This window comes from Homo sapiens, chromosome 15, assembly GCF_000001405.40.
Source record: "Homo sapiens chromosome 15, GRCh38.p14 Primary Assembly".
Taxonomy (NCBI): Eukaryota; Metazoa; Chordata; class Mammalia; order Primates; family Hominidae; genus Homo; species Homo sapiens.
In genome coordinates, this window is record NC_000015.10 from 41658008 (window position 1) to 41671349 (window position 13342).

General features: G+C 41.2%; 1 protein-coding gene across 54 annotated transcripts in view; it reads left to right on the plus strand.

The window, feature by feature from the left end:
• MGA (MAX dimerization protein MGA) overlaps positions 1-13342 on the plus strand; it is a 148717-nt gene that overhangs the window by 36784 nt on the left and 98591 nt on the right. For 21 of the 54 annotated variants that reach the window (XM_005254243.4, NM_001400225.1, XM_005254253.4 and 18 more), the window contains exons 1-2: positions 2398-2518; positions 10821-11951. The exons of 12 other annotated variants lie outside the window; for them this stretch is intronic. In XM_005254243.4, the coding sequence (XP_005254300.1) occupies positions 10888-11951 (1064 nt within the window). In that variant the 5' untranslated portion in view covers positions 2398-2518; positions 10821-10887. Of the gene's footprint in view, positions 1-2397; positions 2519-2739; positions 3051-10820; positions 11952-13342 lie in introns of those variants that run through there. 21 more of the 54 variants (XM_005254246.4, XM_047432276.1, XM_047432286.1 and 18 more) reach the window with 4 other exon arrangements.

Below are 13342 nucleotides of genomic sequence, written 5' to 3' on the forward strand. Positions count from 1 at the left end.
ATAGTAGGCACTCAGATATTTGCTGAATAGGAAAAGTGTGCATGTAAATGAGATAGTGCCTATGTGTTTATAGAACAATCTAGGATCAAAACTGTGTACATTCTAGGCCAGACTGTTTAATTGCATGCATTCTCTCTAGTTTTTTGTTTGTTTCCCCTTAATATTCAGAAAAATCTACTTGAACGTGCAGTCTAGGAAAATCAAGGCAAAGACTTTTGTGTTAGGCTGGACCAATAAGTTGAGCTATGATAACTGAAAAAGGTGGAACTTAGGAGCATCACTTTAGCAGTTAGCTTGGCATTCTTAAACCTTCGGTTATATATGGATGCCTTTTAAAGGAGGAAATTTCTTACATTATCCAAAGTATACAACCAAGAACTTTAGTATGAGAATGCTGCATTAAAAGTTGAATGTAACCATTTAAGTGGTTACTCAAAGCAAACAAAAAATAAAAAAGAAAAACAAGCGGTTACTTGGTACCTGCATGATGGTAAATCCAAACTGGATCCCTGAAATGTGTGTGGTGGTATGATTATTTTTAGAATATCATCTAAAAACACTTAAAAGTTCTCATAGGACCCTCAGATTCTTGACATCTCCCGACCTCTCTAGGTTAGGCGGACTCCACTTTGAAAAACTATGGATAGTTTTCCTCTCCCACCGAGATCTGTAGTACTGAATCTTCAAAGTTCAGCGTTTTTTTTTTGTTTTGTTTTTTTAAAGTATCTAGTATTTAGTTATATGTTTGCCTGGTGTAGGGAAGGAGTACCAAAAGAGAATCTCCATTCCCCTTCTTCCCAAGTTGTCCTCACAGATCCCCCAGTTAGAGAGATCATTTGGGTTAACTTGTCTCTTTGGGGATGCATGGTTGTTAACCAGTCATTCACACCTTATGATCATATATTTTAATGCTAAATCAACATAAATTTACTTCTTCCCCAGAAAATGGAAAATTTTTATGAGGAAACCTCAGATCCTTGAGAGGAAGGCATTCTTGGTAAGGTGGGAGATTCTGACAGGGCAGCTTGTAGGAAAGAAGTTCTTGGGTTCAGGGAAGAGGAGGAAGGTGTTAAACTGTTACTTTTCAATTTTGCCTAGGATCTTGAATGCTCTTGCTGACCGTGCCTGACTTGGGGTTTCAGAATGCCTTCAGAAGTCTCTAAAGTAGCCTACACGTTTTCTAGTTCAGACTATTCCAGCAGTTTCTGTCAATGTTGTTGTATATCTCCTCAGGAAGAGCAAAGTGTAGAGAAATATGACCTTCCTAAGTAAAAAGTAGGTCAGATCAGTAGTGTTGGATAAGCCTCCTTCTGTTGACTCCTTCCTTAGTCTTCTCATTCTCCTTCATAGTGTTTTGTATTGTCACATAGCATGTCACGTAGTAGGTTCTCAGTGCTTGCTAATTCTTATCAAAGAAGGCAGTTTTGGATCATTGACCACAAAATCTGCTCTCCTACTCCCTACTTCTTTTTTGCCTTTTAAGAAACTACGCTTCCTTTTTACTGGTGTCAGGAGCACAGAAGAAAGAACAGCTGGTAAGGAGTAGAGAAGGAGAAAGAAAACTACTTTTTGAAGGTTAGGAGAAATACTGTCCATTGATTTACTTCAGCAACTGCCTGACACATAATAGATATTCACTAATACTTTCTTTGCACCTCATAGCTTAAATGTCTTGAAGAAACAAAAATTGAATGCACAGGATCAAGGCACTAAAGCTTAGATAACACACTCCTGCATCGTTTCCCTGTTTTATCAAGATATCTTTCATCTTTATATCCGGCAATTTAGTGGCAACTCTTCGCTTTCCAACTGCGCACTGAGTCTTTCGGTCTCCTCCCCATTTTCCTAGTCGTCTTCGGTTGTGGATGTTGTAAACTCGACCATCCGTCTCTCAAGGTCTTTGGCTTCAAGGTTTCCCAATGCTCTGGAGCTGTCCAAGCCCCGGTACTCCGGGGTGGAAGACCTCAGATTCATTTGACGGGCTTGTGGAGGTTGGGGGTCTGCGGAGCCCCGTGTGGGTGGGGCTGGGCGCGGCCGGGGCGGAGCCGGCGAGGAGCCCTAGGGAAAGGGTGAAAGGCACAGTTGAGAAAGGCCCGCCGGGCATTGGTTTCACAGTTTCCACGAAGGCTTCGTGTGCAAGCCTGAGGAGTTTAGGTGCCTCCCTCCTGCCTCGCCTTTCTTGGTTCTAGAACCTTCAGTAGGCTTTTCTGGGTTGCAGGGACCCGGAAAAGCAGCGGCTTCCACTCGGGGGGCGGGTCCCAAGGGTCTTGCTGCTGCTCTGGGGCCGTTTGGACTCCTGGTGTTGGGGGAGGGGTCAGGGAGGTGCTGCTCGCGTCTCCTTTTGCGCCTGCGCGGCGGGCTCCGAGCGGGTAGGAGCGCGTGCGCGGTGACGTGGACGTCCGGTGCGCGCGCGCAGGCTCTTCAGCTGGAGCGGACACACGGTGTGCGAACCGAACAGAATAACCCGCCCCCAGCGGGATGTGAAGGACTCCGGGTGAGGCCGGCCACGCCCCGCACGGTAACTCTCGGGCCTGGGTGGAGGGCATCGCTTAGTACTGGCCCGATTGGAGTTTTTCGAGAGTTTGAAGCTCTTGTGTATTTGAACGGCGTGAGAAACGTTCCGCTGAGAGAGCTTCGCACGCCCTCGCCAGGCCGGGCCTTGCGCAGGGCCGCCTTTGGCGCGCCCCTGTGGTCCCTGAGCGAGGCTGCGCATGTCACCTCGCGCGCGTCCCCGGCCTCACTTCCGCGTCGCTCAGCTACCTAACTGGGAACATCGACGCCAGAGAGAGCGGCCACGAGGCGGGAGGGGTGAGAAGCGCCCATGGCTCGGCCCTGCCCTCGCGTGTGTGGGGTGCCGCTCCGCGTGGTACGGTCCGCGTGACGACTTCTCGCCCGGCGCCGGGCTCTAGGTCGAGAGCCACGCTTACGCGCTTTTCAGTTTAGAGCCTAGGTCTCGTGGTTCTAGAACTCCAAGGGAAACGGTGTCGGCGTCGCTTTTCTGAGAACTTGGCGCAGCGTTTTGACACCTGTGCAAACGTCTTTTCTAACAAGTAATTTCCGGCCAAATTGTTTGAGGCAGGACGTCAAGTTTAATAAAGGAGGGCGAGGAAGTGAGCTGTAGGAGTGGGGACTTGGTAAACAAAGGACCGGTGGTGTGTAAGTGCAGAAATGAGGGAGGGGAAAACAGGTGGGAAGAGCAGGTGTTATTTTCTTTATTCCTCTGTGGGGCAGCCTTTTACCTAGTTCTGTTTATGGGGTTTCCCGTTTCTGTTAAATGGTCAAGTAGGTCTCTGCCCTCAGTGCAAGGTATCTGGGACATTAACATCACCCCCCCACCGCCCCCCCAAAGCTCCAGTAGCCAAAGTTGAGGGATCTATGTGTCAGAAGAATATGGGGAAACTAGGGATCGTTTCAGACTGGGTCGGGAGTGCAAAAGTGGTAGTGTCTTGCTGTACAGATTTTTGCCTTGCCTTTCGAACCCTGGGAATGCCTTCTTTCTCTGGCCGGGGTGGAAGCAGGAACGGGTAAATGAGGTCTGAAAGGAGGGGTTACTGATGGCAGACCAACACGAGAAACCAAAGTGCACTCTTTTATTGGGAAGATAACTTTCCCAAGGTTCGCCTCGCCGGAGCAAACACGTGGATCATGAGAAGTCTCGAGCCCACCCGCGCGTGTTGTTGTAGAGCTTGCCAGGCTTATGCGGCTGAGTCCCTGGTTAACAACTGCTTGCTCTGTTCGTTCTTTTTGGGCACGATGCCGCGGCTAGGCTGCAGGGAAAGTGCCTGGGGGCGGCGTGACGGCTGCTGGGAAGGGGGTTGGCAGGGGAGGGTCTGGTGGCTGGTTCTGTAGTCTCCAAGGTAACAGAACGCGGCTGGGTCCCGCAGAGCGATCATCGGGTTCCGGCCGGCGGCACGTGATCTGTCGGGACTCTTCCCCGGAAGAGCTTTCCTTGCGGCATTTTTTCACGTGGTTCTTGGCCAGCTGTCCTTTGCAGTTGAAAAGCGGCGGTTTGTGGGTCATTAATAGTCGACGGCGTCTGCTCCTCTCGGGGAAGGCAGTGAGACCGAGCCTTTTACTTTCCTGCGTATCGGAACAGCGCTAGTGTTTCTTGCCGCCAACGGTTGTTTCTAGCGTTTGTGTGGGTTAAGTGGGTTGGGTCCACTTTACAGAAAACACAGGCTAAAGACTTGAGGAAATTCAGTGCCCTGGGTACCTTGGCATACTTACTTCAAGTTTGACTACTGCCAGTTTCTGCCTTAAAAGTTCTTCAAATTCTGCTTACCCAACTGCTAGAGACCTGTCAGCTTTCTGGCCCTGAGTTGTAGTTAGGGTCCATTCTTAGGAATAAAAAATACTCCTGCGGCTAGCAGTAACAAATGATATCTGGGAAGAGAAGGAGGCAGTACTCTCTTACGCAGGTGCAATTCTGTGCCTTAAAACCTAAAAGTGTTTCAGATAATATTTTGACATTTGCCCTATAAGGTTGTGACGATAAAATGCCCAGGATATTGTCTGTTCCGAAGTGAGTAGTTCTTAATAAATGGCAAGTACCATTTATTAAATTAGTAAAAATAAGCAAATGATGGTTAAGAGCGATTAAGAAAGTATTAATAGTTGGCTATTTTACTGTCTTTGCCACCATTTGCTTTCATTTTATTATATTTATATCCACATTCTGTTTTTAAGAAACTTAAAATTTCTTGACCCAGTGTTTATTGGCTAAATACTGAAATCTGAGTGAACCTGTTCTCTTGAAATTTGAGTTTCACAAATGTAATTTAACCATATTCTTATAGTGAAGGATCATATTAAGGAATATACTAACATCTTGGTGCCTGCCATACTACTGTATTTATTGTATGAAAGGTTGTAGAAGTTTGTAGCAATTTGGAAAACGTTCAGAATGTGTTGCTTAGCATTTGAATATTTGTGTTTTTAAATAATGGTATTGACTTGGAATTTTGATTTTGTGTAACTAATTTTTGGGGTTGAGCACAGTACATTAATCATTGAATTAGGAAACTATCTAGTAAAACTAGTGTATTTTGTGAGTTGTATGAGGATCATTGCTTTAGTAGATAAACATTTCCCAAAGAGGTCACTGGTGAAAAGACATTAAAATAGGGAGTCTGAAATTGTAACAATTTATGGAACTTGTTAGATTACTTACCTAAAAAATGTTTTCTATGATAGCTTTTGTGTGTGTATATGTCTTCTGGTGTGACATTTCAGAGTGTTACTGAATTTTCCCCTCCACAACTTATTTTGTTGGCTTTTTATTGTAGCTATTTTATCTAGATAAAAAAAAAATTTGATGTTGAAAAGCCGAATTGAAAGTTTTTGAATGTTAAGGTATATATATACCAAAATTGTGGTTTTCATTAAAGCTTTTAGTTTCCCAGAGTATTTTTAGGATGTTGCTAGAAGATTTATTTCTTCATGAGTAGCCTACCCTTTTCTTTTCTTTATTATTATTATTGTTGTTGTTGTTGTTGTTATTATTTTGAGACCGAGTCTCACACTATCTCCAAGGCTAGAATGCAGTGGTGCTATCTCGGCTCATTGCAACCTCCTGCCTCATCCTCCCGAGTAGCTGGGACTACAGGTGCGCAACACGACGCCCGGCTAATTTTTTGTATTTTTTGTAGAGAGAGGGTTTTGTCATGTTGGCCAGGCTGATCTTGAACTCCTGACATCAGGTGATTCGCCCGCCTCAGCCCCTCAAAGTGCTGGGATTACAAGCGCGAGCCACCGCTCCCGGCCTAGCCTACCCCTTTCTAAAGTACATTTGAGTTTTGCGGTTGGCTTAAGTAGACTTTAGAGTGGTCTTGGTGTGTCTGAAACAGCTGAATATCCTTAATTGACTGCCCTTTGATTAGAAAATTCAAATGTTTTACAATATTTATCTTAGAAAAAAAAGAAAATTCATATGGTAGCTCCAAACCTAGGCATATGCTTATAGCGAAGTGGAATCTGTGCCTAGATTGATGTAGAATAAGAATTTCATTCCATGTTCTTAAACCAGTAGCTGTTATGGCTCAAGATAGAGATGGTTTTAGTCATAAATTAAGTCTTTAATTCAATGCATTTTCATCAACTAATGGATTAATTTGATTAGTGGAGTTAAAAAACCGGCCTTATACAAATCATAAGTCAGAAGTTTATTTTCCTGTCTTCAGGCACATTTTTACATTTTTTTATTATATGCCTGTGCACAAAGTTGAAATAGGTTGATATGACTTCTCTGCACTAATATTTTGCTTCGGCAGAAAGAAAAACTCAGTGTGTGTATATAAAGTTAGTGTAAAATTTACTTCAAGTGCAGTCTGATTTTCACCAAACTGGGTTTTTGTCAACTGCATCTTTGACATTTCATAGATTAATCTTTAAAAGACAGTAATTTTTAAAGAATTGGTTAAAACTTCTCTGTCTTGGTTTTACTGGTAATGATCTGAAAACCAAAATTTTAGTTTATAGAAAGATGTTTAATAAATTCGGCACCTTTTCATGTAATTTATAGGTTTGGGATAACTAGATTTTTTTTCATATACTTCTTTGCTGCCTTAGTCATATGAAATGCACCTAAGGATGTTGTGCTCACGTGGAACACATACACACAAAGGATGTTTTGCATACTTATTCACAAAAATAGTTGGTGATTTGTAATAAAACCTTGAAGTTTATGAATTAATAAGTACAAGCTAGGAGTTTGCATTGTTTGAATTATACATCATTGTAGAGGTATTTTTTTTTTGCCAGTTCTTTAAGCTTTAATATTTTACCTTATTTGTGACTTCCGTTTAGTTTTGTTTTGTCAGTCTCTGATAGGTATCGCCTAAGTGTGTTAGTTTTAGAAAACCAATCAACTTCATAGGTAAAAGCTTGAGGCAGCTTTTGAAAAGAATCACTGTACATTTTATCTCTTTTAAAAATAAACTTCACATCAGAGGAGAGATTTTTTGTTGTTGTTGTTCCTGACCTTTCCTGATATTAGTGCTTTAGTGTTGGGAAGTGAATTTCTATTTTTATCTCTAGTCATAATAGGAAACAATAGTAAACCTTTTGAAGTCGTGATTTTAAAAATATCTATTATCTGTAGACTAACAGATATTTTAAGCTTTGGAGCTGTATGACCAATCTTGTAAGAAGAGGTAAAATTCAGATTAGGTGCTTTTGCTGCTCATCATTAGCTCTGATGAAAGGTAAAATACTTTTTAATTATAATGAAGAAGACTAATAAGTGGCTGAATTTGATTAAGATTACTGACCCACTTACACAGGAGTGGTGGTGATGTAGCATCTTCCTTTTTGTATAAAAACTGGAAGCTGTAGCTTTAATTTGGCATATGAGTTCGGTTGATTTTAGCAATCAGATTTCGTTTTGGTTTTTTTTTTTTGAGACAGGGTCTCACTCTGTCATCTAGACTGGAGTGCAGTGGCACCATCACAGCTCACTGCAGCCTTGGCCTCCCCACCCCCAGGCTCGAGGGATCCTCTCACCTCAGCCACTCAAGTAGCTGGGACTACAGCTACACACCATTGTAGAGATGGAGTCTCACTGTGTTTTCCAGGTTGGTCTCAAACTCCTGGGCTTAAGCGATCCTCCTGCCTCAGCCTCCCAACGTGCTGGCATTATAGGCATGAGCCACCATGGCCGGCCTCATTTCTTTATTATAACTTTTTATTGAGATATAATTCACATAACATATAATTCATCATTTTAAAGTATACACCAAAAAGAAATCCCACACCCATTAGCAGTTAGTCCCAGTTACCCCTTCCCCTGAAACCACTAATCTACTTTGTTTCTCTAGATTTGCCTGTGTTGGACATCTCATATAAATGGAATCATACAATATATGTGACCTTTTTCTTTATAACCTTTAATAATTAACTAATTTTAACTTTATTTTTTATTTTTTTAAAGAGACGGGGTCTCACTCTGTCTCCTAGGCTGGAGTGCAGTGATATGGTTATGGCTCACTGCAACCTGAACTTCCAGGGCTGCTGAAGGTGTCCTCCTGCCTCAGCCTCCTGGCCACCATACCTGCTATTTTTTTTTTTTTTTTGGTAGAGACTGACTGGCTATTTTGACCAGGCTGGTCTTGAACTCTTGACCTCAAACGTTACTCCCACATGGGCCTCCTAAAGTGATGGAATTACCGGTGTGAGCCACTGCACCTGCCCACCTGGCCTGTGTTTTAGTTTTTAAAGGTTGTGTGTTCACAAGACACAAAATTTACAAAGTGTAAAAGGGTATCTTTTCCAAGTCATCAAGTTTTCCTTGGATATGACCAATACTACTGTTTTCTTTTCTGTCTTTCCAGAGATAGTCTGTGTAAAGCAAATATGTACATGTTCTTTTTCATTCTTTGGCTTTTTATTTATTTTAAAGACCGAAATACTGTCTATTTCTTTGATTTTAAAAAGGAAAAATCTTTTACAAGGGTTGAAAAACTACCTATCAGGTACTATGTTCACTGCTTGGATGATGGGATCATTAGAAGCCCAAACCTTATATTATGCAGTAGACTCATGTAAACAAACCTGCACGTGTTCTCCCTGTCTGAAGTTTAAGAGGTACAATAAAAAACTTTTAAAAGATGTGTGGCATAATTTACAACTCTTCTGAACATTTTACGCTTAATATATCTTGTAGATACTTTTTGCATGCATTCATTAAGCTTATACATTCTCTTTTGTGACTGTTAACATTCCACTCTATGGATGTGTCATCATTTGTTTTACCATTTTAAGGACTTCTCTCTTCCTGTCTAGTCTTTTGCTGTTATAAGTGGGAATGCAGGGGATAATCTTGTATAGATATCATTTATCACAGGTGTGTGTATTTAAAATAAAGTCCTATAGTGGGTTTTAACAGTGAATTAAGAAAACTTAAAGTCCTGGGAACAATTCTTTGTCATAGGATGATATATGGATTTGTACTTTTGATATTTTCAAGTTGCCCTCTCTTAGAGATTCTATTATTTTATACTCCCAGTAACTGCTTAGGGGAGAATGCTGGTTGACCTAACCCTTTCCAGCACTACCAGGCTTTGATTTTTGCCAGTCTGATAAGTAAAAAAACAGTATCTCAAGATGACTTTAATTTGCTTTCCTCTTAACTATGTACATATTCATAGCCATTTGCGTTTATTATCCTTTACTCATTTTTCTGTTAGGTATTTGGTCTTGTTGATTTGTAGGAAGCCTTTAAAAATTATTATTACTGTTAATGTATTTTTATTTTTTTTTTTGAGTCAGAGTCTCGCTCTGTCACCCAGGCTGAAGTGCAGTGGTGCCATCTTGGCTCGCTGCAACTCCACCTCCTGGGTTCAAGCAATTCTCTTGTCTTAGCCTCCCGAGTACCTGGGATTATGGGCGCACACCACCATGCCTAGCTAATTTTTTTATTTTTAGTAGAGACAGGGTTTCACCATGTTGGCCAGGCTGGTCTTGAGCTCCTGACCTCAAGTGATCTGACCTCCTTGGCCTCCCAGAGTGCTTGGATTACAGGCGTGAGCCACTGCTCCCCCGCCGCTATTATTTTTTAATAGAGACGGACTTTCACTACGTTGGACAGGCTGGTCTGGGACTCCTGACTTCAAGCAATCCTCCTGCCTTGGCCTCCCAAAGTGCTGGGATTATAGGTGTGAGTCACCATGTCCAGCCCCCTTTTTATATTAGGGAAAGGAGTTCTTTATAAGTTGCAAATACCTTTTCCTGGTTAGTTTGCTTTTTGATTTTGCTTAAATGATTTTGCCAGATTAAAAAATTTACAGAATATTAAATTTTATTTTATTTTTATTTCTTTGAGACGGAGTCTTTCCCTGTCACCCAGGCTGGAGTGCAGTGGCGTGATCTTGGCTCAGTGCACCTTCTGCCTCCTAGGATCAAGTGATTCTCATGCCTCAGCCTCCTGAGTAGCTGGGACTACAGGCGTGCACCACCACACCAGGCTAATTTTTTAATTTTTAATAGAGATGGGGTTTCGCCATGTTGGCCAGGCTAGTCTCGAATTCCTGGCTTTAAATGATCCACTGGCCTCAGCCTCTCAAAGTGCTGGGATTGCAGGTGTGAGCCACCACACCTGGCATCATATAGTATTAAATTTATCACTTTTTTTTTTTTTGGCCTTACTGGTTTTAGATTTTGTGTCTTATCAAAAAACTTTTCTCAGGATTTAGGAATAAAAAAATTAAATATTAGAGTCATCTGGAATTTATTTCAGTGTAAGGTCCATTGAGTTCCAGTGATTTGTCATGGCTTCTTTAAACGTGTGTACTAAGAAGTTAGATAGCTTTTTACTTATTTATGGAACCATGTCTTCTGAACCATATGAAGAACTAATTCTGTACAATTAGCTCTTTGGGATGAAAATGGAACTTTACTTATTTAATTTACTCATCACTGGGGAACTTGCTATATAAAGGAATCTTCTGGTAAATTCATAAAGTGTTAGGATGCTTTAAAAATGCATAACCTTCAAATTTAACTTTTTAATTTTGTATACTTTTTTAATAATGAATATACTCTTTTGTTTCTTTGTGTGAGATTATAGTATTTATAGTGAATTGTTAGAGGATTAGGATATAAGCACCTTAACTAATTAGATTAAAATGAACTTTAAAAAATGATTAGATATTCCAGAGTAAATATTCTTACTGTGATTGAAAGAAAAGCTTAGAAGCAAAGTCTTAGAAGAATTTAGGAATATTTTGGGGATAACATAATCGTTCTTGTATTTTTGTTCAAGAAATAAATACTCACTTGATTAAAGGGTGTTTTTTGTTTTTGGTTTTTTTTTGCTTGTTTCTTAGGATGGGAAGGCCATTGTGACTATGTGGTGATTACAGTTGTCTTACTACTGAGTTTCCTACTGAAATCATGGAGGAGAAACAGCAGATTATATTGGCTAATCAAGATGGTGGAACAGTGGCAGGAGCAGCACCTACCTTCTTTGTCATCTTAAAGCAGCCAGGAAATGGCAAAACTGATCAAGGAATTTTGGTTACTAATCAGGATGCCTGTGCTTTGGCTAGTAGTGTGTCATCACCAGTAAAATCTAAAGGGAAGATTTGCCTTCCAGCTGATTGTACTGTGGGTGGAATCACTGTTACCCTCGATAACAATAGTATGTGGAATGAGTTCTATCATCGAAGCACAGAGATGATTCTGACCAAGCAAGGAAGACGCATGTTTCCTTACTGTCGTTATTGGATAACAGGTTTAGATTCAAATTTGAAGTATATTCTTGTCATGGATATATCTCCTGTGGATAACCATCGTTATAAGTGGAATGGTCGTTGGTGGGAACCTAGTGGGAAGGCTGAACCTCATGTTTTGGGGAGGGTTTTCATTCATCCAGAATCTCCTTCCACAGGTCATTATTGGATGCATCAACCAGTATCTTTCTATAAACTCAAACTTACCAACAATACACTGGACCAAGAAGGGCATATCATCTTGCACTCTATGCATCGTTACCTGCCGAGGCTTCATTTGGTGCCTGCAGAAAAGGCTGTGGAGGTGATACAATTAAATGGCCCTGGTGTCCACACTTTTACCTTCCCACAGACTGAATTCTTTGCAGTAACAGCTTATCAGAACATTCAGATTACTCAGCTGAAAATAGATTACAATCCATTTGCCAAAGGCTTTCGGGATGATGGGCTGAATAATAAGCCCCAGAGAGATGGAAAACAAAAGAACAGCTCTGACCAAGAAGGGAATAATATTTCCAGTTCTTCTGGTCATCGGGTCCGTCTTACAGAAGGTCAGGGGTCAGAGATACAACCAGGTGATTTGGATCCTTTGTCAAGGGGTCATGAAACATCAGGCAAGGGTTTGGAGAAGACTTCCCTTAATATAAAACGAGACTTTCTTGGTTTCATGGATACTGATTCAGCACTTAGTGAAGTTCCTCAATTGAAGCAAGAGATTTCTGAATGGTAAGTAGTAGTTTTTCTGTTCTTAGAAATAAAAGGAAGATTGAGATGGGCCAGGTGTTGGATTTAACATCTTGGTTCTGTGGAATGCTACAGATGTTGATAAATGTAAGCCACTATAAAATATACTACAACTGCTTTTACATTCTGTGAAGTGACATCATTTTTCTGTAATGAGAATCAGTTGGGTTCAGGATCTAGAATTGTAGGCAAATTGGATAACTTATCAGAATTATTCATATGTATTTAGAATGTTCCTTGATATCCTTGGGGGATTGGTTCCAGGACCACCCAAGAATACCAACACCTGACTACATTTGAGACTCCATCTCAATAAAAAAAAGAAAATCATACCAATTATGACAACATAGATGAGCCTAGAGAATACTATGCTAAGTGAAATAGGCAAAACAAAAAAAGACAAATACTGCAAAATATTCATAAAAGTAGAAAGTAGAATGGTGGATGCCAGGGGGTAGAGAGAGACTGAAAGATGTTGGTCAAAGGGTACAAAGCTTCAGTTATGCCAGGTAAATTTTAAAGAAAGAGTAAGCATACTATTTTTTTTGAGATGGAGTCTCGCTCTGTCGCCCAGGCTGGAGTGCAGTGGCATGATCTCCGCTCACTGCAAGCTCCGCCTCCTGGGTTCACGCCATTCTCCTGCCTCAGCCTCCCAAGTAGCTGGGACTACAGGCGCCCGTCACCACGCCCGGCTAATTTTTCTATATTTTTGGTAGAGACAGGGTTTCACTGTGTTAGCCAGGATGGTCTCGATCTCCTGACCTCATGATCTGCCCGCCTCGGCCTCCCAAGGTGCTGGGATTACAGGCGTGAGCCACCGTGCCCGGCCGTAAGCAATACTGTTTTAACAAGTAATAATTTTAAGCTTCTTCTTTGGTTGGGCAATTTATGGATTAGGATATCCCTCAGGCAGTAAATTCACAAATATTAGATACAAATAACGACTCTGAATCCATTTTGTGCCTTATATAGATAAGTTTTGTTTCCATTATGATTTGGCGTTATTTTTCTTCCCTTCTTCAATTATAGTAGGCCCACCACATCTACTGGTTCTGCATCCACAGTTATAGCTGGCCAACTAAGGGACTTGAGTATCCTCAGATTTTGGTATCTGGGGAGGGTCCTGGCACCAGTCCTCCTCAGATACAGAAAGTTGCCTGTAATCATGAGTTGTCTATACAATCAGTATTCCGTGGAGGCTGCAGCTGTGTATTCAACTAACCACAAATCCAAAATATTTGGGATGAGATGGGGGGGAGGATTTCACAAAGTTCCAAAAAGCAAAACTTGAATTTGACTATTGTGAATGATGCTGTTTTTTCTTTTTGTTTGAACTTGCCTTATTTTTGTTTGTTTATTTTTTTTGAGACGAA